Source organism: Homo sapiens, chromosome 6, assembly GCF_000001405.40.
Source record: "Homo sapiens chromosome 6, GRCh38.p14 Primary Assembly".
Lineage (NCBI taxonomy): Eukaryota > Metazoa > Chordata > Mammalia > Primates > Hominidae > Homo > Homo sapiens.
This window is the reverse complement of record NC_000006.12, coordinates 70,661,483-70,686,599: the sequence shown is the minus strand read 5'-3', so window position 1 is coordinate 70,686,599 and position 25,117 is coordinate 70,661,483. Positions and strand designations below refer to the sequence as shown.

At 40.8% G+C, this 25,117-nt stretch overlaps 1 protein-coding gene and 1 pseudogene across 9 annotated transcripts in view, besides 4 other annotated features; one reads left to right on the top strand and one right to left on the bottom strand.

The window, feature by feature from the left end:
• The window catches only part of SMAP1 (small ArfGAP 1), a 194,133-nt gene extending 175,416 nt beyond the window's left edge, over positions 1-18,717 (bottom strand). For 6 of the 9 annotated variants that reach the window (NM_001044305.3, NM_001281439.2, NM_021940.5 and 3 more), the window contains exon 1: positions 18,459-18,717. In NM_001044305.3, the coding sequence (NP_001037770.1) occupies positions 18,459-18,576 (118 nt within the window). In that variant the 5' untranslated portion in view covers positions 18,577-18,717. Of the gene's footprint in view, positions 1-17,883; positions 18,071-18,458 lie in introns of those variants that run through there. The other 3 variants (XM_047419227.1, NM_001281440.1, XM_047419228.1) reach the window with 1 other exon arrangement.
• Positions 9,159-9,728: an enhancer, noted in NCBI's record as "H3K27ac-H3K4me1 hESC enhancer chr6:71386575-71387144 (GRCh37/hg19 assembly coordinates)". NCBI's record gives its function as "activates a minimal SCP1, AML or CMV promoter by ChIP-STARR-seq in primed H9 embryonic stem cells {active_cell/tissue: H9 hESC(primed)}" and the evidence as "EXISTENCE:reporter gene assay evidence [ECO:0000049][PMID:30033119]".
• Positions 17,976-18,035: a silencer, noted in NCBI's record as "silent region_17322". NCBI's record gives its function as "represses an Ori minimal core promoter by ATAC-STARR-seq in GM12878 lymphoblastoid cells {active_cell/tissue: GM12878}" and the evidence as "EXISTENCE:reporter gene assay evidence [ECO:0000049][PMID:35858748]".
• Positions 18,156-18,385: a silencer, noted in NCBI's record as "silent region_17321". NCBI's record gives its function as "represses an Ori minimal core promoter by ATAC-STARR-seq in GM12878 lymphoblastoid cells {active_cell/tissue: GM12878}" and the evidence as "EXISTENCE:reporter gene assay evidence [ECO:0000049][PMID:35858748]".
• Positions 18,536-18,935: a silencer, noted in NCBI's record as "silent region_17320". NCBI's record gives its function as "represses an Ori minimal core promoter by ATAC-STARR-seq in GM12878 lymphoblastoid cells {active_cell/tissue: GM12878}" and the evidence as "EXISTENCE:reporter gene assay evidence [ECO:0000049][PMID:35858748]".
• On the top strand, positions 22,321-23,098 carry SLC25A6P6 (solute carrier family 25 member 6 pseudogene 6; annotated as a pseudogene).

Sequence of the window (25,117 nt, the reverse complement as noted above, 5' to 3'; positions counted from 1 at the left end):
AATGTGCTAAAAAAGAAATGTGTGTTTTTTCAAAAATACACTGACAAGTCTCCCAGAAACCAATTTTTGTCAACTGTATCAGTTTATTCAAGAGTTAACTATAATTCCTCAAACAAAACAAAGTAACCCTGACAAAAGTTCCATTAAGCCTTATTTCAAGGGCCATTTACACCCATATTAATAACATTCCTTCCGCTGCGAAACAAATTCCAAACAATTTTCTTCACAGACCACATAAGTTGTCAGAATCCCAAGAGAAAATATGTATTTGTTTCAAAAGTAAACTAAACACAGAAAACAAAACAAGCAATGAAATGTGGCAAAGGTGTTAAAAATGGTAAAGGACTGCCTAAGAAAAGCATAAAAATACTAAAGATTCACTTTCTTAAATCTTACTGCACTGCATAGCAGGTAAAAAAAACAGACTCTGAGGCAATTTGGATTCAGCTTCACCACAGAAATTTTCATAAGAGCTTAGAAAATAGTTTTAATGTCTACCAAAAAAATACAAAAATCAAATGGCGTTTTCTAGTTCCTCTGATGGTGGCATACATCTGTAGTCCCAGCTACCTGGGAGGCTGAGGTAAGATCATTTGAGCCCAGGTGTTTGAGGCTGCAGTGAGCCATTGTGGTGCCACTACACTCCAGCCTGGGTGACAGAGTGAGGTTCTGTGTTAAAAAAATAAAATAAAATAATAAAAAAATTAAAAAAACCTCTTCTCCCAAGGCTTCTCTGTTCTGGTTTTCCTTACAGTCTTCCTTCACAAAGAATGGGACGATTCTACTTCATCCCATTGCCTCTCTACAAAATCTTCATCATTGACCCTCTGGTTAGACAAGTGTTGAATGGAGTAATATGGCTTTAGGAAACACTTCTATGCCGATAACTCCCAAATCAACAATTGTCCCTTTGTCTATTTTCTCCCTGACATTTCTGCCCAGTACTTACACCTGTCTTCAGAAAGGTACGTACAAAGCATGTCCACTAAGTATATGCACAAACCTGTTTACCTGGTTATTCCTACATGAAATAACTTTGCCATTCTCCTTTAAGTTTGATTTCACTCTTCCTCAAGAACTACCTCTTTTATTAAAAACCTTCCCCAGCCCCCATTCTTGGTGATTTTTACTTTCTCTGAATTTATTTAACATCTAAAGCTTGCATTACACTTTCCAGAATACACTCTGTGTTTATGGCCTGCCTCTTTAAAGTAAAGGCTCCTCAGGGCAAGGTAGGGTAGGGTTTCTGCTGTGTATCTCTCACTAATGTCTACTCTAGTGAATCAGCAGATAAAAAGTTAAAAAAAAAAAAAAGTATTAACTACTTTATTTTCCTGAGGCTTCCATCAAGTATTTTTGCACTGGTCTAGTCTCAGAATCTCTTCAATTACATTTTTTACCAAACAAAATATAATTCACAAATGCTTCCTGCAAAGTAATAAAGTGAATGAGTGCTCAAAAAAAAAAACTAAGACCTGGCATAATTACCAAACACCTACTCATTTATCAAACCCTTACTTTGTGCCAGACATTACTTCACAAGCTCAGTTAATCCTCACAACCCTGTGACACAGGTATTACCATTCTACATGTAATGACACTGGAGCTCATAAAGTTTAAATACCACACCCCCACCACGAAGAAGGAAGGAGGGAGTGAAAGGAAAGAAAGAAATCAGAGTCAGCAGTGGGAGAGCTGAGCCTTCAAAACAGAGCAGTGAGCTTTCAAAGCCCATGTTTTCCCTATCCTAGTGTGCCTCTAAAAGAGAAGAGAAGAGCAGTGACTACTAACCCACAGACAACTGGAGGAAGAATATTACAGAGGAAATATTACCATATAACTACTTTTTTTTACTTTATCACATAAACTTGGGTAGAAGGAATAAAAATGTAAACAAGTTCAAAATATCATAAGGACACTGAAAAACTTAGAAAGTTCTTTAAGGAACTAATAAAATCTACACATACAGCATTCACTCCCCTGAAATTTTTTAAATGTTAGTTTACTTTGGCAAAGAAGTTGAACTTTGGTGATCATTTAAGGATTTGGTGGTCATTAGAATGTTATAAAATAAAAGGAGAAATGAAAATGAAGCTTAATTTTTAAGAATCCATAATCCTTGCTTCACCTGATGGTCTTAAAGTTTATCCCTTGCCAAATCTATAATTTCTTTCTTTGCCCAGGTGACTTAGGATCCTTAAAAAAATCAGCTTAAAATTTCAAAAGTCTGATCAAGCACAGTAAAGCCCTCTTTATTTTGTTCACCCCTTCACCAATGCTCTAGTGCTTTCCATCTATCTGTACAATCTCTCTCAAACACAAAAATATTTACAAATACCTCTTATTTCCACGCTATTTACAGATTTATATAGAGATAACCATTTGTTCCTAGTTAACACTGCAGATGACAACAAATATCCCAAATTTTGAAAACATGTTTACATTACTGCCAAATTTATGTTTGAATAAATTGGCTAAATAATAGATAATCCTTGCTCACTCTGATAACCAATTATCTTGTTAATATGCTGCCATTACATAGATAACGGTTTGGTTAAGCATAAAAACCCACAATTTACCTCCCTTCTCACTGTGCACAAGGACTGAATTTAAAGAGAATGAAAAGATTAAAAAGTTGGGTGCTATCTTTTGTGAAGGTCAAGGGTAACACATTAATACGTGACCTGACAAAGTAACAGACAGATTTCCAGAAGACCTGGGTTCACTCCCATGTTCTCTCACTGTTCCATTGCTTTTAACAAGTCATTTAACCTCTTTTATCTCTCTAGTATAGCAGACTCGAACAGATACCATACAGGTCTCTTGTATCTCTAAACTTTCAACAATTCCATAATTACTGAAAAATATATAGATATAGATCTGAAACTGAAAATATTTTTCCAAAATGCTCAACCCACTTATTCACGGTCTTATGGGTGGAATATGGAGATGAATGGTGTGGCCCACCAGGATACCCAGAAGAATGAATGCTGTCTGGAATTTTGTGTTCTCTTGGCCCAATGACTGGTCAAGAGAGAAATGTGAAAAGGGTTGCCAATCCCACCCTCCCAAAATGTAGGAGCAAATCCTAACAGAATAGAAATGACCAATGAGCACATTAAAAAATGTTCAATATTCTCAGTGGCTCATGCCTGTAATCCCAACACTTTGAGAGGCCAAGGCGGGTGGATCACAAGGTCAGGAGTTCAAGACCAGCCTGGTCAAGATGATGAAACCCCGTCTACTAAAAATACAAAAAAAAATTAGCCAGGCGTGGTGGCGGGCACCTGTAATCCCAGCTACTCCAAAGGCTGAGGCAGAAAACTGCTTGAACACGGGAGGCGGAGGTTGCAATGAGCTGAGACTGTGCCACTGCACTCCAGCCTGGGCGACAGAGTGAGACGCCGCCTCAAGAAAAAAAAAAAAAAAAAAAAGTTAAATCTTAAGAGTATCAAGAAAATGCAAAATAGTATAACATTTTCACCAACTGTATTAAGGAAGCCTTTTAAAAATATGAATACCCAGTAACAGACTGGGTACAGTAAGTCAGCCACTCTTTTTTTGACATGGAGTCTCACTCTGTCGCCAGGTTGGAGTGCAGTGGCACGATCTCCTTTCACTGCAACCTCCACCTCCCAGGTTCAAGTGATTCTCCTGCCTCAGCCTCCCAAGTACCTGGGATTACAGGCACGTGTCACCACGCCTGGCTAATTTTTGTATTTTTAGTAGAGACAGGGTTTCGCCACGTTGGCCAGGCTGGTTATGAACTCATGACCTCAAGTGATCGGCCTACCTCGGCCTCCCAAAGTGCTAGGATTACAGGCATGAGCCACAGCACTTGCCTAGCCATTCTTTAGATAGTAGTGGTGGGAAGGTAAACTGGTCCCAACACTTCTGGCAATACAGATCAAACGGGTTTTAATCTGGTATACTCTTTAACATAGACCTTAGATTTTATTCTGAAAAAAAAAGTGCGCACACAAAGCTTTATAGCAGCAGTATATGTAACCACAAAAGTTAGAAAACATACCAATCAGTGGAGAGGGATTATTTTTTACAAACTTTTAAATTATTTTAAAACATTTACTATTAGCCAATATTCTGTGCAGAGGGCCGGGCGTGGTGGCTCACACCTGTAATCCCAGCATTTGGGGAGGCCAAGGCAGGTGGATCACTTGAGGTCAGGAGTTCGAGACCAGCCTGGCCAATATGGCAAAACCCCATCTCTATTAAAAATACAAAAGTTAGCTGGGCGTGGTGGTGGGCGCCTGTAATCCCAGCTACTTGGGAGGCCAAGGCAGGAGAATCGCTTGAACCCAGGAGGCAGAGGTTGCAATAAGCCAAGATAGCCCCACTGCACTTGAGCCTGGGCGACAGAGGGAGACTCTATCTCAAAAAAAAAAAAAAAAAAAAAAAAAAAAAAAAAAAATCTGTGCAGAGAATAACCTTAAATCCCCTATGATGTCCCACTATCCTTATTTTCAGCAAATGACTTCATCAACTAATTGTCCCCTCACATTTCAGACCCATCTTACTCTCTCACAAATTGATCCATATTCTTCCTGATCTTTTTTCTCCTGTCAAAAGCTAACCATTTCATTTGTATTTTAAATTTTCTCAAAACCTTGCATTAATATATTGCCTAGATATGCCACACTTGCTTCTTAGAGAACTTGCTTGCTCTTAGTCATGAAAAAGGAACCCCTACCTGCTATTCCTGCAGCCCTATTAGCACCTAATAGAAAATCCTGCACCTAGAGACATCAAAAAACCTGATGTTCTAAAGATTCCACAAGCAACTTTAGAGCTGTGTATGAATAACACAACTCCTCAAGAAAAACAAAACATTAAACCACTGTTTTCCATAATGTTTTCAAAGTACTCATTAGTATTCTAATTGACTTGGCACACACAAATAAAAAACACACACACATACAAAAGGCACCAAAGGTTTTTCATTCTTTAAACCAGCATCAAGAAGTTTATCACTTCTGCAAAATCTTTACTCAGACCATTAAATTTATTTTCAAGGAAGATGAAAATAACTTTAGGAGTGTATATGTTACAAAAATTCAAATAAAAGAATTGAGAAACTGCTACATAATCTACAGTAACTGTTAACATCAGCGAAAGAAGTAAACAACATATTTGCATGTTTTTTGTTTTTGTTTTTGAGACAGGGTCTTACTCTGTTGCCCAGGTTGGAGTGCAGTGGCACAATCACGGCTCACTGCAGCCTTGACCTCCTCAGGAGATCCTCCTACCCTAGCCTCCCAAATAGCTGGCACCACAGGCACGTGCCACCACACCCAGCTATTTTTTTTTAATTTTATTTTCACTTTTTGTAGAGACAGAGTTTCGTCATTTTGCCAAGGCTGGCCTTGAACTTCTGGGCTCAAGTGAGTCACCTGCGTTGGCCTCCCAAAGTGCTGGGATTAGAGGTGTGAGCCACCATTCCTAGCCTATGCATTGTATTTTTTTTTTTTAAATAAACTCCCTCATCCCGATCCTTAGCAACCACTGACCTGTTTTCTGTCCCTATAAGTTTTATCCTTTTATTTAATAGAAATCCGTGTAATTATGGCCAGGCGCAGTGGCTCACAACCGTAATCCCAGCACTGTGGGAGGCTAAGGCGGGCAGATCACCTGAGTCAGGAGTTCGAGACCAGCCTGGCCAACATGGCAAAACCCCGCCTCTGCTAAAAATACAAAAATTAGCTGGGTGTGGTGGCACGTGCCTGTAATCCCAGCTACTTGAGAGGCTGAGGTAGGAAAATCACTTGAACCCGGGAGGCAGAGGCTGCAGTGAGCCGAGATCATACCACTGCACTCCAGCCTGGGAGACACAGTGAGACTCCAACTCAAAAAAAAAAAAAAAAAAAAAAAACAGGAAATCCATGTAATTGTAATGTATACTCTGTTGTCTTTTGTGTATGGATTCTTTTGTAAATATAATGTTTTTATGACTCATCCACTAGTTCATTGCTTTGTACTGTAAAACATTATTCCACTGTACGGACGCACTATTTTCTTTATCCATTCGTCAACTGATAAAACATTTGAATTGTTTCCAGTGTTTGGCTATTATGAATAATGCTGCTATGAACATTCAAGTGCTTGTTTTACTTTGTCTTATTATTAAGTTGCATTATTTCTTTAGATATTCTGAATAAAGGTCCTTACCAGATAAAATATTTTTCCCAGCCATCTATGATTTTTAAGTGTCTCTTGAAAAGCAAAAGTTTTTAATTTTAATGAAGTTCATTTTCTCAATTTTAACTTTATGGAATATAATTTTGTGTCCTATCCAAGAATCCTCTGCTTAATTCAAGGTCCCAGAGATTTTCCCCCATGTTTTCTTCTAGCAGTTTTATAGTTTTAGCTCTTAAATTTAGTTTTATGATCCATCTCAAATTAGTTTTTGTGAATGGTCTGAGGTAAGGTTCAAGGTATTATACATTCTGTTGTTGTTGTTGTTGTTGTTGTTGTTGTTGTTGAAAAGACTATCCTTTCTCTCCATTGAGTTACCTTGGCACTTCTGTTAAAAACTGACCATAATATGTGAGTCTATTTCTGGACTACGTATTATGTTCCACAGATAACTATAGCTTTTTAATAACTGTTAAAGGCAGGTTGTGTAAGACCTCAAACATTCTTTTTGTTTTTCAATGTTTTGATTTTGGAAGGTCCCTTGCATTTCATTAAAAATTTTAGAATCAGCTTGTCAGTTGCAACAAAAAAAGCCTTCTGGGATTCTGACTGGAATAATGTTGAATTTAGAGACTAATTTGGAGAGAACTGACATCTTAAAAATATTGAGTCTTCTAATCCATGAGCATGATATCTCTGATACCTCTCTCCACTTCTTTAGGTACAGTATTCATTAATTTCTCTCAGCTATCTTCTGTAGTTTTTGGTATACAGGTCTTGCACGTATTTTGTTAAATTTATCCCACAGTTTTCATATTGTTATGCTATTATAAATCATAATTTTTATTTCAACTTCCAATTATTTGTTGCTAGTATATAGAGTTACTTTTTCTATAGTCACTTTATTTCTGTAAACTTAATAAACTCAATTATTCATTCTAATAGCTTTTCTATAAATTTCTTGGGATTTCCTACATAAATGATCCCATTGCAAAGAGATTGTTAAATGACTCTTGCATGCATGTATTTTTAAATAGGTCCTGTGAGAAAGGCTAATTTAAGTAGTACTTCATCATCCCATACCATCTTAAATACACCCAACTCTGTACCACTTATAAAAATCTAGATTCTGGCCAGGCGCGGTGGCTCAAGCCTGTAATCCCAGCACTTTGGGAGGCCAAGGCAGGCGAATCACTCGAGGTCAGGGGTTTGAGACCAGCCTGGCCAACATAGCAAAACTCCGTCTCTACCAAAAATACAAAAATTAGGCGGGTGTGGTGGCACACACCTGTAAGCTACTCCAGAGGCTGAGACAGGAGAATCGCTTGAACCGGGGAGGCAGAGGATGCAGTGAGCCGAGATCATGCCAATGCACTCCAGCTTGGGCGACAGAGTAAGACTCCATCTCAAAAAAACAAAAAAAAAAAAACAAAAAATCTAGATTCCATATATAATTTTTATCACAAATCCACTTTGTTAGGCAGAATAATGGCCCCCAAAGAAGTCCTGTTCTATCCTTGGAATCTCTGTGAATAACTTAAGGACACTGAGATGGCAGTATTGTCCTGTATTACCCAGATAAAGCCAAAAGGTCATAAACATGCCAGAGAAGATGTAATGATGGAAGTGGAGGGCAAGGAGGAGCAGAATCAAGGATGACACACTGCTAGTTTCAAAGATGGAGGAAGGAGCCATGAGCCAAGGAATGCAGGTGGCCTCTCCAAGCTGGAAAAGAAAACAGATTCTCCCCTAGAACCTCCAAAAGGAATGCAAGCCTGCTAACACCTTGCCTTTAGCTCAATAAGACTCTTTTTGGACTCTGACCTGCAAACCTGCTAAAATGATAAATTGGTATTGTTTTAAGCCATTCAGTTTGTAGGATTTTTTAATAGCAGCAACAGGAAATTAATATACTGGTGATGATCATTTCACTTAAACATTCTTCTGTTAATTTTTTTGTCACTGTGCACCATCATCACCCTACACCAAAAGCAACTTCCAAGAGTAGAAATGCATGAACTAAATAACGCCCTAGGCTAAACATAATTTTTATGAATTTTTCCTATAATGGAAGATAAAGCTATCCCAAATATTATTTCCCACAGAATTCCCCTTATTTTCTTAAGTTTAGGCTTGAGCTCATCACTGCTCAATGAAAGGCACGCTTTATAAAAGATCAATAAGAGACATCTGAAGGTCTACCATCAATCACTTGGATCTCTAGTCAAATGGAGACCAAAAATTGCTGGGGTATAGGGGCCACAGAGAATGGAAGATTATTAGAATTACTTTTAATTCTCTTTCCTTCGGACCCTCAAGGTCCTCACATTTATCACTCAAAATATATGTAAACATCAAATTAGCATGTTTCCAAGAGCACTTTATCTAAGCTCTGTTTTAAGTGAAATAATTTTAAAAATCACTTCTATATGATACTGTAACTAAATGCCACTCCAAGTTAAACACAGTTCTACCTAACATCTGAGTAACTAAATGCCACTCCAAGTTAAACACAGTTCTACCTAACATCTGAGGTAGAAATACTGACATTAATAGTAAGAAAGCATTACAGTGAAACAATTTTAAACAAAAGGACTCCTCAACCTGTGGGGAAGAGTTGTATGAGTTGTGTGATATAGCTTGGGATAATTAAAGATAATACTAGGTAAATTTGCTCAGCAAGACCTAAATCATCAGTGAAAAGCTTTAAATAAAAACTATAAAAGTTTGATGACAATCCATATCTCAATAGGACTCAAAAAATAAACTCTCAATAATATAATTTTTTAATAATAATAGTAAACACTGACATAGAAGTCACAAGGTATGCGGCGAAACCCCGTCTCTACTAAAAATACAAAAAATTAGCTGGGCGCGGTGGCGGGCGCCTGTAGTACCAGCTCCTCGGGAGGCTGAGGCAGAAGAATGGCATCAACCCGGCAGGCAGAGTTTGCAATGAGCCGAGATCGAGCCACTGGCACTCCACCTCAAAAAAAAAAAAAAAAAAAAAAAAAAAAGAAGTGACAAGGTATGGGATTCAAGAAAGAACACAGACCATACAAGGTTGAAATAAATCTTTGCAATAAGGATTAAAGAGAACAAGGACAACTGGTCACTAAGCAAGTCAGAGGCAAAGCTTGGACTGAATCCTAGCTTTGCTCAACCAAGCTAGTGTTCTTTCAATTCTATCATGCTGTTTCTATGGTTTAAAAAGCCCAGGTAGATGACCAGTATCTGACCTAAGGATATAGCAAAAAAAAAAAAAAAAATTATATATATATATGAAGACAAAACAAAAAACAAAGAAAAACACTAAAGCACTTATCTGTGGACTCAGTAAGTTTCTAAAATAAAGTTTACGCAAGGTGAGGTGGCTCACACCTCTAATCCTAGCACTTCAGGAGGCCTAGGCAAGAGGATTGCTTGAGGCCATGAGTTTGAAAGCCCAAACAACATAGCAAGGCCCCTCCCCACCACACCCAACAAAAAAATTTTTTTTAAATTAGCCATACATGGTGACAAGCCTGTAGTCCCAGCTACTTGGGAGGCTGTGGCAGGTGGATCACTTGAGCCCAGAAGTTAGAGGCCGCAATGGGCTATGATCACGCCACTGCACCCCAGCCTGGGCAACAGCATGAGACCCTGTCTCTATAACAAGGAAAAAATAAATAAATAAAATAAACTTTAGTGATGAGACAAAAATTCCAATTTGTTTAAACTGGTATTTTGAAGTTATGGTGGTTCTGCTATTAAATGCAAGGAGGGAAACTAAAATGAAGATATTGTCCACATTTGAACACATTTGGCAATAATCTGAGAAAAACCTTAAGTTAGCCGAAGGTGACAGTCTTCCCAACAACAATCTCTTACATCACAAATTTCTACAACAAAAACAGGTGTTTTATCTATCATACCATCAAACATAGTTAACAGCACAGACTATATCTCCCGGGCTCAAATCCTGACTCTACAGTTCAGATTCCCACCCCTATCTCATCTCAATAAAATCACAATTTCCCCAGGTTATAAAAGCCTCTAATGTTCATCCTTGCTCCTCCAGACTGTACCCTTATTAGCAGGCTAGGTTATAGAGCCAGCACAGATATACTGAGGCTCCAACATGTCCTGTATAATATACTGGAAGAAAATATATATTACCAATTATGCTTTGAGTTCCCCAAGACCACCCTCATGTTCAGTAATTTGCTAAGAAGATTCAAAAGATTCAATATACAGTTGTACTCATCGTTATGATTTATTATAGCAAAAAGATACTAAGCACAATCAGCAAAGGAGAAAGGCACAAAAAGTCCAGGGGAAATTAGGAGCAAGCGTCCGGGTGCTCCCTTCCAGTTGAGTTGCAATGAACACACTTAATTCTCCCAGCAGTGAGCTGTGACCACACATGTAAAATGATGCCAACCAGGGATGCTCATCAGAGACTCAGTGCCAAAGGTTATTAGGGAGACTGGTCATGTAGGTAACCCTGGCTGGCACATATGCCAATTCCAGAATCCCAGAAGAAAAGCAGATATTCAACATAAACCATATTTATTATACAAACAACTTAGGCACAATGACAGACTCATCACTTAGGGTGGTGGGACCATCCCCAAGATTCCCCTCAGATGTCAGCCAACCACCGCAAGGCCTGCTTTGTTAACTCTTTTCTCCACACCAATGACTAACAGATCCTTTTGAGCATGAACCTTATCTACCTATCCCCTGCTAATCCCCAGGTCCTAAGAAAGTGCCAGTCACTCCCCTCCAAGTTGTTTTTTTCTTTTTTTTTTTTTTTTGAGATGGAGTCTCGCTCTGTTGCCCAGGCTATAGTGCAATGGCACGATCTTGGCTCACTGTAAGCTCCGCATTCCGGTTTCAAGTGATTCTCCTGTCTCAGCCTCCCCAGTAGCTGGGATTACAGGAGTGCACCACCACACCCAACTAATTTTTGTATTTTTAATAGAGATGGGGTTTCACTATGTTGGGCAGGCTGGTCTCAAACGCCTGACCTCAGGTGATCCACCCACCTCGGCCTCCCAACATGCTGGGATTACAGGTGTACACCACTGCTCCAGGCCTCCTAAAATTTTTTTAATGAAAAAATTTCTGGCTCCACTACTTTAAGTTCTGTGTACCTGGGTAATAATATTACCTACCTCAAAGGTTGTTTTGAAGATTATATGAGTTAGTATATGTAAAGTGTGAAGTACATCATCTCTGGTAAAAAAAAAAAAAAAAAAAAAAAAAACACTATATAATTTGTGAGTATATATGTAATGTTATTATTTGCTTTTTTTTTTTTTTTAACATTCTCCAGGTCACAATGGAGCTACCCTATCTCTAAACTTCTAATGAATCTACCAATGTAAACATAGATTAGAAGTTAACTGGTAATTGTTTCATGTCTACTGAGATCTCTAACTAGCTTGTAGACAACTATATCCAAAACTTTTTGTTTTTGTTTTTTTGAGATGGAGTCCCACTCTGTCGCCCAGGCTGGATGGAGTGCAGTGGCGCCATCTCGGCTCACTGCAACCTCCGCCTCCAGGGTTCAAGCAATTCTCCTGCCTCAGTCTCCCGAGTAGCTGGGACTACAGGCATGTGCCACTGCACCTGGCTAATTTTAGTATTTTTAGTGGAGACAGGGTTTTGCCATGTTGGCCAGGGGTGGCCTCAAACTCCTGGCCTCAGATGATCCACCTGCCTCAGCCTCCCAAAGTGCTGAAATTACAGGCATGAACCACTGCACCCGGCATCCAAAACTTTTTTAACACACACAGTAGTATCTAACGTAGTACTTAATCTTTTTAGTGCCCAGAAAATATTGATTTATCAACAAAATTAAATGTCTGTTAAATCAACTCTTTACAGTGGTAAGAATGTAAGGCGGTCAACTCTTCTGATAATAACTACAAAATGGCCTCCAAGTTTCTTTGATCTTCTTTCATTGAGAAAATTGAGAAACTGAACTAAAATGGCTTAATTCTAATCCGTGAAAAGACGATTAGTAGAAGCGTTTGAAATAAGCAAAAGGGGCTGGGTGTGGTGGCTCACACCTGTAATCACAGCACTTTGGGAGACTGAGGGAGGCAGATCACTCGAACCCAGGAGTTCAAGACTAGCCTGGGCAACATGACGAAACGTGGTCTCTACAAAAAATACAAAAATTAGGTAGGCATGGTCGCACACATCTGTAGCCCCAGCTACTTGAGAGGCTGAGGTGGGAGGATTGCTTGAACCAAGGAGGGAGAGGTTGCAGAGAGCCTACATCGCACTCCAGCCCAGCGACAGAGTGAGACCCTGTACCAAAAAGAAAAAAAAAGAAAAAAAAAATGCCAAAGCACTTTTTTGAGTTTATAAAGTATATCGTTTTAAACATTCTACTTTGCCTTAAAGAGAGCATGGATTCAAGTCTGTTATAGGTTAATAAAGGTGGAGAAAGATATATATATATATCTTGTACAGCAACAATTTAGGAGATGTAAGCCTCCTTAATTAATGAAGTCAAGTACTGAAAGTTTTATCTTAAACAAACAAACAAACAAACAAAAAAGACAAAGAAGAACTGTGAAGAACAAAAGGAGGGGAGACAACATGCAGCCCAAGTTTTAAACTGATGAGTCAGAGACCAATGATTTCCATCTCAGCTCTGATACCAGGGCTCTGCCCAATCAGGAAAAACCTCGAGATCAGCAGAATTACAAGAACAACAGACCCATCAGACTGAAGTTTCACATTTTGAGGAAACTTTTAGATTGGCAAATTTCTTTAGGTGAATTATAATCAGACTTTCACTTATATAAATTTGTCCTATAAGCATCAACATCATAATAAACACCAGTTCCCCAAGGTGAACTTTACTTTTTAGTAAATATTACTACACTTTAAAAGTAACAACTCTAAAATATCAAAGACTTAATGAAAAACATGAACTCTTGGATTGGCTCTTGCAATCAAATGGGCTCTACACGTTTCTACTTTTTGAAAAAGTTAGAAAGCTAAAAGACTCCCTTGAAGGCAAGGTATTGGACATAATTAGGATCTGCCAATTATCTGCACATGGAAAGCACAAGTGGGACAGAGGCCACATTCCTACAGAAAGGGCAACTAACAAAAAACGTCTACAGACACTAAGTGGTTGCAGCTCCATAGGCCTTATGCCCCCATCAGCATACCAGTCTCCTGGGTGAGAAGCAGTTATGACAGTGGGGCAGCGGTAGCAGTGGTGGTATGTGTGGCCTTGAAAGCAGTTCAGCAGTGGCTCCCTGACTTTCCCTCCTCCAGCCCTTCCAATGACTTGGTAAGTACCTGATTCCTGAAAATAGCTACAGTGGATCTCTTTCCTGCTCTATACCCTGACTTATATATTGACATTGTGTGAATTTAGGTCCTCTTGCCCTCTTCTTGGACCACTGTTCAACATCTCCTAACTCAGGATTTGCCTGCAATCCTCACTATCCCAGTTCTTCCTCTGACCTGAGACTACCAAAACTGATCATGCTTAAAGAAAGCTTATCTAGTAAGGGCCGTATGGAAACTTCTTCTGTTCTTTCATACTGGTACATGTGTGTGTGCAGCTGTGTCCTTTAATTCCTTCTCTATCTGATGAAATCCCACTCCACCTTCAGAACCTAGCTCAAATGAAGACTCCTTCTGTGACTGGTCCCAACAGGGTCACTCCACATGCCACTCCCTTTCACAGGTGCACTCCCTTTCACACACCCTGCTGCCTGCCAGGGGCTCTGTGCTCATTCATTCACACATTCATTCATTCAAAAAATATTTGCTAAGTTACATTTGCCTACCACATGTCCTGAAAACTGGGGATACTACCCTAACCAAGATAAACAAGGTCTCCTCTCTTACAGCTATAATCCAGCAGGGATACAGTGTACCCCATAATTACCTAAATAATGTTTAATTACAATTGTGATAAGTGCAATAAAAGATTCAGGGTGTTGTCTTTTATGTATAAACGGAAGCCTAACCTAATCTCAGAGGATCAAGGAGAATTATTTCCCTTGAAAAGACATTTAAGCAGGAATTGAAAGATGAGCAAAAGCTGAGCAGGCAAAAACTTGTTAGAAAGCTTCCCAGGCAGAAGAACAGCACGTGCAAAGGTCTTGAAACAGCATTCTAGGAACTGTAAAGACCACCAATGGGCAAAAGTCAAGGTGCAAGGGGAACAACAGCCCAAAATAAGTATAGAGGTAGTTATTTCTTAAAACCATTATTACAAGCACTTAGCACATCGTTTTAGAATCATTTATTTGCAAAAACACAACCCACACTAAACAAACTCCTTTAGGTCTTACAAATTTTTTTAGCTCTCTTACCTAATACAATATCTAACAGTGTGTCTTCAAGTCAAGATCTGCGGAACAAAGAAACGAGTGTTTGATCTCAGCAATGAGCTTACCCTCTCAATATCAGACAGGCTAAACAAAACAATCTCTAGAGTTAAAAAACCTTATGTTTCTGACTACCCAAAATTGAATGGGCAAGAGACTCACTTTCATACCAATTTAAACATGCTCAAAATCAAACCTAGCAAAAGATGGAAACAGACCAAATGTTCATCAATAGACGGATAAATTGTGGTCTATCCATACAATGGAATATTATTCAGCCATAAAAGGAGTGAGGTACCGACACATGCTACAAAATGAATGAACTTTGAAAACATATGAAGTCAAAGTCAGAAACAAAAGTTCATATGTTGTATTATATTAAATATCCAGAACAGCCAAACCTACAGAGATAGAACATGCAATAGTGTCTGCCAAGGGCTGGGGAGAGGGGATAGTGGGAAGAAACCGCTCAATGTGAATTTTATCTATATGTTTTGTTTTTGTTTTTGTTTTTCCCTGAGACGGAGTCTTGTTCTGTCACCCAGGCTGGAGTACAGTGGCGCGATCTCGGCTCACTGCAACCTCCGCCTCTCCGCCTCCCAGGTTCAAGCAATTCTCTTGCCTCCGCCTCCCACGTAGGGATTACAGGTGCCTGCCACCATGCCTGGCTAATGGTTTTTGTATTTTTAGTGGAGACGGGGTTTCACTATGTTGGCCAGGCTGGTCTTGAATGCACTTTTAAAATCTCAGAAATATACATTAACAAGCATGGGACATGTCAATGTGGTACCTGCCAAGCCCAGCGATGTTTTCTAGGAGCCCTACTCAGCCAAGTTCAGGCTACTCCTGATGTCCAACACAAGATGCCCTATTCAGAGCATGTGAAAGAATAGAGAAGTGAAAAAAAAAAACAAAAATCAAAGCTAGAATTACCTGTAGATAACACTTTAAATACTGAAAACTAAACTTGAAGCTGGCAAGGCATTCCCAGTCCTCACTGCTCCCTAAAGTGCCACCAACTAATAACCAACAAGAGCTGCTTTAAACTCCCACTGAGTCATGAATGCAGCTAGGAGAGAGGAGGAGTAGTTCCATCTGCCTGTTCTTAAATTCTCCAGTTGTTCAACAGATTTGGTAAGAGCAGGATCAAGAGCAGGAAACTGGCGCCTATGCCATCCTTTTCTCCTTCGTTGCTTCCTAAATACTGTCAATCCAGGAAACACAGCTGGTGATTCAGTAAGAAAATGTCAAAACCCAATTGACATACCTCTACCAACTATGATAAGGCAAGATAATACAGGCACCTCAAATCCTAAGCTTTAGTTTTGGTACATATTCTCAAAGATCAGTGGAAGAAGCTTCTTTGAAAGAAAGAAAATTGAGTTAACTAGGAAATAACTTTGAAATACAGTACATGAAAAGTTTGATGCAATTTACTAGACAGTGAAGAAAACATCAATACATACACAGAATGAAACTTCTTAGTAACTGAGCTGTAGAGTAAGACCTTTAACATATCTTTTAAAAGTACTATATTTATTATGTCATCCTAGCATATAGATCCAAAATCATGTAACAAGCCAAGAATTCTACTAAAAAAGCCTCCATAATGTACTTCAACCTTACCAAATACTCAAAAACTGTGAAAATATATTTACATCAATTGCTCTATCATGTCGAATTTTTCAATTATTACAACCATGAAATCAAGTCTAATTAAATCAATAAGTGGCCTTACCTGTGATTTTTTGCCTGAAAGATCAAGATAAAACAATGAAATTATTTACAAGATCATTTTAATATTCTTCTAGATTTAGTAGCAACAAGAAAAAAATAATCCTTGTAAATTATACTGTGGAGTTCATGCCCTTCAAGCTGCACCCTTGTACTCTTGATACCATTCTCTTCTCTCCCACTTCCTTCACTTCTCAAAACAAGTAAACCAACAAAAGGCCAGACAAAACCAAAATACAAAAGACATTCATTCAATATATATCTACTGATTTCCGTGGCAATACAAACACTGAGCAAAACGAATACTTCCTATTCTTCAGGTCCAAAGAAGTAAAACTTTTGATCCTAATTTAAGAAGTACATGATTCTCTTCTCCCCACCTCAAAAGAGTAAATAAAAAAAAAAAAAGTTAACATGGTTAATAATGGCTTTTAAAAATCTGTATTATTTTAGAAAGCATTAGTGAAAATCTGATTTTATAAAGTACTTTTTTGGAGACAGAAATTTGAACAAAAATTAAATTATTTTTAATAAAGTCTGTAGATGAAGGAAGGTTAATTCTGAAACTGTTACTATTCGACTTTTAATGAACAGATTTAATATTTACCAGCATCTCTACTTAACCATGTTATTACTCAAAATGACAAAATGTGTACTATTTAGCTTCAGCTTCTTTCTTCTTCTTGGCCTTTTAAAGGACCATTTTTCAGTGTTTTGCTAGTGCAGTCAATGAGCAAGCAACTGAGCCTAAACACAGTGCAGAACTCCCAAATAACCACACACAATCAAGTTACTAGGAAAACAAGTATTACAAGAACCAGGCACGGACTTTGTAAAAACTCATCACCTGAAAAGGTTACATAGGATAAATATAATCTTGACTCAATCAAGTTACTATATTGAAAAGTGCTTCATAAAAATAATCTAGTTACAGTATTCCCGCATGATTCTTCTAGTAATTCAGTACCTGTTACGACAGTGAAGTAACCTGCTGATGCTGTGTGGCTCAGTCTAGTCAAATATTATCAGCCTACTGAAATGTGACTCATTTATATAGTATTGAGATAGAACAGTAAAGCTTCAGGAAAAGTCTAAGTCAAATAACACAGAAATCTTAAAGGACATTCCCCAAAGAGACTGTCTCCTGCTTTAGAGAACTACCCTATTTCTCACCCAATAACGAAATAAACCAATTAAAAATATACACGATCTTTTCTTAACTACACAAGACATTTCTTTAAAAAAAAAAGAAATATTTCCCTTGAGATTACTTACAAGACATTAAACATAAATCAGATCTCCAAACACAAAACATAGCAGCTAAAAATAGTATATCTGTTTCAAAGGCTGAGGCAGAAGCCCTCCAACCGAAAAAACTAAAATTAGGTTTTTTCCATCTCTAGATCTTTAAAATGAACCTTCAGCATTTATGAGGTACACAAATCAGTGTCCACATATTCTCCCAAACTAGCTGGTCAGAGAAAACCTAATTACTAAAATCTTCAGAAATACAAACCCACCGTCCTCCAAGAGACTCATGTAATGAAATTCCTCTTCATTCTGGCTAATAACCAGACTAAAAAACAATACTACTACTAATAAAGACCTTTCTCCAATTAATTTATTCCGTAAAACTCAAACCCACCGAAAAAGACCACCATACTCTTTTTCAGGAAGCAGAGATAAAAGCCTTGTACAAAAGCTGTCAGGTGGGCAGGCAGGTAGGGCTCCATCTAGGAGACCAAGAATCCGAGCCCGGAGTGGGAGGACGTGGTCACACCGGAGGGTAGAGGAGGGGATCCAGACCTAAGCGCGGCCCCACCCACAGAGATAGCTATGAGCAGAGCTAGGAGGGCAACTCTCTAACCCTAAGCTCTGCCCAGACCCGTGCCCGGTTCCGCGCTCCCAGCCTCGCTCCTACCCCCAGCCCTGTGGAGGGTCCGAGCATCGCTACCCTGGCACCTGCTCAAACCCGTGTCTGGGAGGAGGGGAGGCTGGGGCCACTGACAGGGCCTGCGGGCCTGACCTCGCCGCCGCCTCTGGCGGACTTGAGGGTCGACAGGAGCCCCGCGCCCGCCCGCTCAGCCACCCGCCCTCCAGTCAGGGCAGGAGCCGGCCAGCGAAGCCGAGGCGTCCGCTCGGGCCCCGAGCGCCGCAGCGGCGGGAAGGTCACCGGTCGCAAGAGGCCCCGACCGTGGGCAGCGACGACGTCCAAGCTACCTTTGGCCTCGCAGTCGGCGCAGTACTTGTTGTCCTCCTCCCTCAGAAGCTTGGATAGGATGAGCTGGTGCTGCTCGTTCAGCTTCTGAGCCTTCTCCCGACAGGAGCGCGTCGCCATCTCGGCAGCGGGGCGGGGAGCCTGGGGCAGCTACGGCGGCGGCGGACGCTGGCTGGAGCCGGGCAGAGTGAACGCACCTGGCGCCGCCGGGACCGCGGGCGGACTCAGCCCAGGAAGCGGCAGCGGCAGCTGGAACGGGAGGAGGGGCGGCGGCGGCGGTGGCGGTGGTAGCGCCGACGTGTCCCGCCTCCTTGACCGGCCTGCCGGCACGCACCACCCTAGCCGGCGAGGGGAGGGGGAGGGGGACTGGGTCGCGCCGAGGCTTCCGGGTGGCGCGGAGGAAGGAACCCGGGCGCCGAGCGCGCTGCGCATGCGCCGAACCTACGGGGCCCGGGCTGCCGAGTCTTTTTGCAAAAAGGCCTTCTGCCCAAGGTGATTCCCGAAAGGTAGCTGGCACTGCCTCATACGAGCTTTCCCCCCTTTTGAGATGTGATGGTCCGCAAGGGCCTCTAGTAAAACCCAGTAATGGAAGACCTTTTACAAGAAGCCTACTTTGACTTGCCCATTTGCCTTTGCTCTTGCTGGCACAACATTGGAAATGCAGAAATAACTAGCGACTGGGTGGGTTCATTTACTCATTCGAGGTTTATTCGCCTGCAGTTTAGAAGCTGGAGACACGGATGGAAGAAAAGAGGAAAAACGGTCTCTTACATTTTAAGGGCGAGAAATAATCTAGTAGTGACATGTATTAGGGGATAACATTTCATTGAGTGATTACTCTGTTAAACGAACTGTTAGCTCATTTAACCCTTTCCCCAACCTTATGATATTGTTATCCTCATTACACAGGGGAGGAAAGTGAGGCATAGAGGAGTTAAGTAACCTGACCAGATTACAGAACTACTAGTGGAGGAGTTGAGATTTAAATCCAAAGCAGTCTGGCTCCAGAGTCTGAAAGACCTGGCAGTAAGCCCTTCCATAAGGGGGAAAGTGTGACCAGGAACCCAAGTACTAGGCGGTGATACTTTAACAAGAAGCTGTGTAAATAGTGATCCTTAATGCAAGAGAAAGAGAACTAAAGAAAACACTTTTCATTGGAACCCAGACCCTAATCCAGGCTCATGAAGTTTGAACTCCGGGTGACGCAGTTTCGATGATTTGGCATGTTGTATATTATGAGGAAGTTCTAATATGGGGCTTATGCAAGCCAAATAAACACAGTCCTTGCCTGCGATGAAGCAGATGCTAAGAAAGGCAATGAGCAAGAGTCGGTCTTACACTTCTTAGTAAGGCCAATTTCTAGCCCCTGTCCCTGCATAAAAGTGACCCTCATTGCTACCTAGCCCTGTTCTTGGCACAGGGGCTCAAAAATGTTTCTGGAATTAAATTGAATGGATATGGCAATGAAGATGCTCAGTAATTAAACAAATTAGAGCTTATACTACATAGCTCTGACAAATAACTACTAGGGAGATATTGGTGAGTTCCAATGAACAGAAAAAAACATTATGTGGGAGGTAGAACTTACGAGCCTTGTCCTGAAGATACGCTGGATTTAGATGGGGACTGGGGAGGGAGATATTAAGAAAGAGCAGCTTGCACAAAAGCATGAAGACCTGAAGTACCTTGGAAAACAGACTGGAACAAAAGGTACTACTTTTGAGATAAGGCTGCATAAGTAAACTATGATAGGGTTATGGAAGACTTGGGAAGCCAGACAAAGTAGTCTGGCCTTGATGCAAATTGACAGTAGAAAACCTGTAGATTTTTGCCAGGCACAGTGGCTCACGCCTGTAATCCCAGCACTTTGGGAGGCCGAGGCAGGCGGATCACCTGAGGTGGGGAGTTCGAGACCATCCTGACCAACATGGAGAAACCCTGTCTCTACTGATAATACAAAATTAGCCGGGTGTAGTGGCGCATGCCTGTTTAATCCCAGCTACTCAGGAGACTGAGGCAGGAGAATCGCTTGAACCCGGGAGGCAGAGGTTGCAGTGAGCGGAGATCAGGCCATTGCACTCCAGCCTGGGCAACAAGAGCAAAACTCCTTCCCCACCCACCCCCCCCCCAAAAAAAGAAAAAGAAAACCTGTAGATTCTTCAAGTAGGATAATAGCATAATAAAAAGGATCTTTTGGGAAAGTTAGTCCTGCAGTAACCAGTAAACAAACACCATTTTTTGAGTACCTCTCCTCCCTACAAAAATTCTGTTCAGCACTGTGAGGACTCAGAAAAACAGAATACAGGTTTACCACCAAAAAACAACCTTCAGGATGGATTGAAGGGTCACAGCAATGTCCAGTACAAATACTTGCGTGCCACACGTATAACTTTAAATAATGCAGTAGCCACATTTAAAAACAGAAAAAGAAACATAAAATACATTTTACTAATACATTTGATTTAACTCAATGTATCCAAAATATTTTTGAGATGTAATATAAAACATGGCATATTTTCTTTCCATTCTTGTTTTCATATTCTCTTCAAAATGCTGTATAACACAGCTCATTTCATTTTGGAGTGGCTGAATTTATTTTTTAATAAAGAAATTATCAAAAAATTGAGCCTAGGAGTTCGAGACCCTGCTGGTCCATGGGGTCTCACTATGTGGGCCAGCATGGTCTTGAACTCCTAGCCTCAAGCTATCCTCCCACCTTGGCCTCCCAAAGTGCTGGGATTACAGGTGTGAGGCACTGCGCCCAGCCTGGAGTAGATGAATTTCAAATGTTCAGCAGCCACATGTGACTAGTGGATACATTATTGAATAGTGTGGTTCTAGATGGTCAGCTTAGAGGCTATTAAAATATAAATTTGAGTTGATTGTATTTTAAGACTATAGTAGGAAGAAAGAGACTGGTCCCCAAAACATCCTGGGAAGAAAACAACATTGCATTTATTCACCAGTATTTATCAAACAACTTCTATCTAGTACACTAATAATCAGAAGCTTACAGTCTACTATGAGCTACAAATATGTAAATAGAAAAGGACTACACTGTAAAGTTTATAGCAATTATAAAGTGTTCTCGGAGCAAAAGGAACAGAACATCCAGTAGCCTGGGAAAATCTGGGAAAGTTTCACGGAGGAGGTGATGCTTAAACTTGGCTTTTAACAGATGGGGGAATTTTTCAAGTGAATGGGGGTGGAGCGGAGAGAAAGGAATTGCTTTAAAAAACACGTATGGACTTCTGAAAGTTCAGGGTTATATGCTAGACATAGTGAGGATATGAGGCCCAAGAAACCTAGAATGTGTTTGGAGAACATGAAGGTAGGAAAGGAAACAAGATGGAGAGGTAGATTGCCACCAGAGGGTTAAGAGCTTTGTAGCCAAGCAACAGAGTTTGAACCTCATGGGTTTATAGAACCAATAGAAGCTTTTACACGGAAAAATGGCTTGATAAGCTTTCTTCTCAGTAACTCTCCATACAGTGGCAGTATGGAGAACATGGTGGGGAAAAACTTATCAAGGGAACAGATTACAGGCCTGTCTCAATAATAGTCCAAAGAAGATATGATGAAGGCCTATTTTAAGCAAGTAGCGTAGGGTTTGGGAGAGACAGAATCAAATGATGGTTTAAAATTAGAAGCAGCAAGATTTGGCAGCTGACTGTATGTGGAGGGCAAGAGAAAGAAGGTGAGAATAACATCAAGCTTTCTAAGTTGGGAGAAAGGTAAATGGTAATGCCGTTAACCCAGATCAAGAATAGAAGAGGTAGGCCTCTAGGTCCAGCAGTCACAGGGCTGAGCCAGCAGCACTAATCCTCCCAGTTCTCCATGTGCTCAGCTTCCTGCTCTGCAACCATGACACAACAGGCGATCTCCTTTGCCAAGGACCATCTGGCTGGTGGCATTGCTGCTGCTGTCGCCAAGATAGTTGTGGCCCTGATTGAGCAGGTGAAGCTGCTGTAGCAGATGCAAGGCGCTAGGAAGCAGGTGACAGCTGACAGCAGTGCACAGGAATTGTGGACTACTTTCTTAAGCAAGCCCTCAACATCACATTCAAGGATAAGCAGACACAGCTATTCCTGGGAGTATGGATGAACACACACAGTTCTAGAGCTGTTTTGCCCACAATCTGGCCTCCAACAAGGCGGCCAGAGCCACCTGTCTCTGTTTTGTGTACTTGCTGGGTTTTGCCAGAACCCATCTGGTGGTCAATGTTGGGAAATCGTACACAGAGCTGGGATTCAGGTTCAAAGACCTAGGAGACTGTCTGGTGAAGATAAGTAAGTCTGATGGGATCTGGGGCCTGTACCAGGGCTTCAGCATCTCTGTGCAGGGCATCATCCTTTTCTGGGCAGCCTGAAGGCCTAAGGCATGCTCCCTGACTCCAAGACCACCACATCATGGTGAGCCAGATGATTGCCCAGACTGTGGTGGTGCGGCCAACATGACCTTCTACCCATTGGGCCCTGTGCAGACCCAAAGGAGCCAACATACTGCACATGGGAACCCTCAATTGCTGGAGGAAGATTTTTAAGGAGGAAAAGGGAAAGCCTTCTTCAAGAGTGCATGGTCTAATGTTCTCAGAGATATGGGAGGAGCTTTTAGGCCTGTCCTGTATGTGGAATTGAAGAAGAGTAAGTGTGTTTCCTCACTAGAAATGAAAACCAAGAGAATCATGTAGCATACTTAACTGTTATGGACCACTGACCTTTGAGAAATTTCATTTTCTTGGTCCTGGCCATAGTACCTCTGTAGAGGACTAGAGAAGGCTTTAGAAAAGGGGTTCACCATGATCATATTCAACCATTGGCACCCTGAATCCACGCATTGATTACTGGCGATAATTATGACATCACCATGGGTCAACAAACAAGGCAGCTCCTTCAAACAGACCTGTAGTCCAGGCACTTGTAGAACCCAAGTTGTGTTTAAATATTTATTTATTTATTTTGTATTTATTTATTTTAGTTTTTATTTTTTTGAGATGGAGTTTCACTCTTGTTGCCCAGGCTGGAGTGCAACGGCACAATCTTGGTTTACTGCAACCTCTGCCTCCCAGGTTCGAGCGATTCTCCTGCTTCAGCCTCCCTAGTAGCTGGGATTACAGGCACCTGCCTCCATACCCAGCTAATTTTTTGTATTTTTAGTAGAGATGGGGTTTCACTATGTCGGCCAGGTTGGTCTCGAACTCCTGACCTCAGGTGATCCACCCGCCTCAGCTTCCCAAAGTGCTGGGATTACAGATGTGAGCCACCATGCCTGGCAAATATTTATTTTTTAAAAAGTCATGTCTCCCATTTGTATTTGAGCACTATCTCCTCTTTTGCATAGCCAAATATTTGCAATCATGTTGTATGTTGGGCATTCTTCTGCAAAACAGTAAAAAGAGGACACTGAAAAAACAAGAAAGAACAAAAGAGATAGTCCAGATTTGGGGTCGGGGAGAAGCAGCATTTGCTTGGGGACATGTTAAGTTTAAGATGTGCCTAGGACATCCAGCTTCATGTGTCTAATGAGATATTGTATATTGACTTCTAGAACTCTGGAGAGGAGTTACTGCTGGTAAAAGTCATTTGGGAATTATTTGCATTTAAAGGGTCATAGAAGCTGTAAAGATGGATGACATTCCCCCGGAGAAAGCACATAGACAAAGGAGAGGAGAGACCTAAAGACAAAATTCTGGGGATTGCCTACTAAATGAAGAGTGGACAGAGAAAGGTGAACCATTGAAAACAGTGGAGAACCAGAAGCCAGGGAAGGAACAGTTTTGAAGAAGAAAGGGTGAACACCAACCAATGCCAACTATTCCAGAAAAGTCAATTATTTCCATTTTAGACAGTACATACAGCATGTGGTCATGGGTCTGCACAGTTCATTGTTTTCTTTCATAGCTCAAGAACAAGAGAAGATAAATCATCTGATGAGACTTCCAAAGCCTGTGATTGTCTGGAGGGTTCCATGAAATATTGAGGGAGGGATGGGGACGGTTAGAAGGGAAAAAAGAAAAAAGGTACAAGGATAGGAAGCAGTGCTAGAGTTAACTATTGAGTGTAAAGTAAGGAAAGTGTCCAAAGTGTGTGTGAGAAGTGAAGTAGGAGCAAGCAATGATTATAGGTTTCTTTGAGGCCAGAGGTGATGTGGTATGGTTAGGAAAAGGATGCGGACAGCTAAATGAAGAGAAGTGCCTAGTGACACCTCTCAGAGGGGTGTAGTAACTTGTCCTGATGAACTCCTGGAAGTCAAGGTGTCTATGGATGCTTGCTGGATGGGGAGTGAAGTTGAAGGGTCTGTTTTTGCAGATTCTTAGAGAGATGAGGTCACTTTTGACTCTAATTTTTTGTTTCTGGTCAGACGAAAAAGATGAGAAACAGGTTTAGGGAGTTTGACTACAATGGAACCAGGATTCAACAGAGGATATAAGTAAAGAGGGAAAGTGATGGAGTAGGAAAATGAAGGAAAAAATTTAGGTCAAGTGAAATGGACAAGAATGAGCCAAATATGCGGGTGTAGGTGGAACAACTGGTAAGAGCAGTAGGTATAGACAACTGGGAGGATGAGCATAATAGTAATAAGAACCAGTGTTTTTTAATCTCCCACTGTGGAATAATGTAATCAATCTTATTATACTATTTTTCACATCAGGAAACATCAG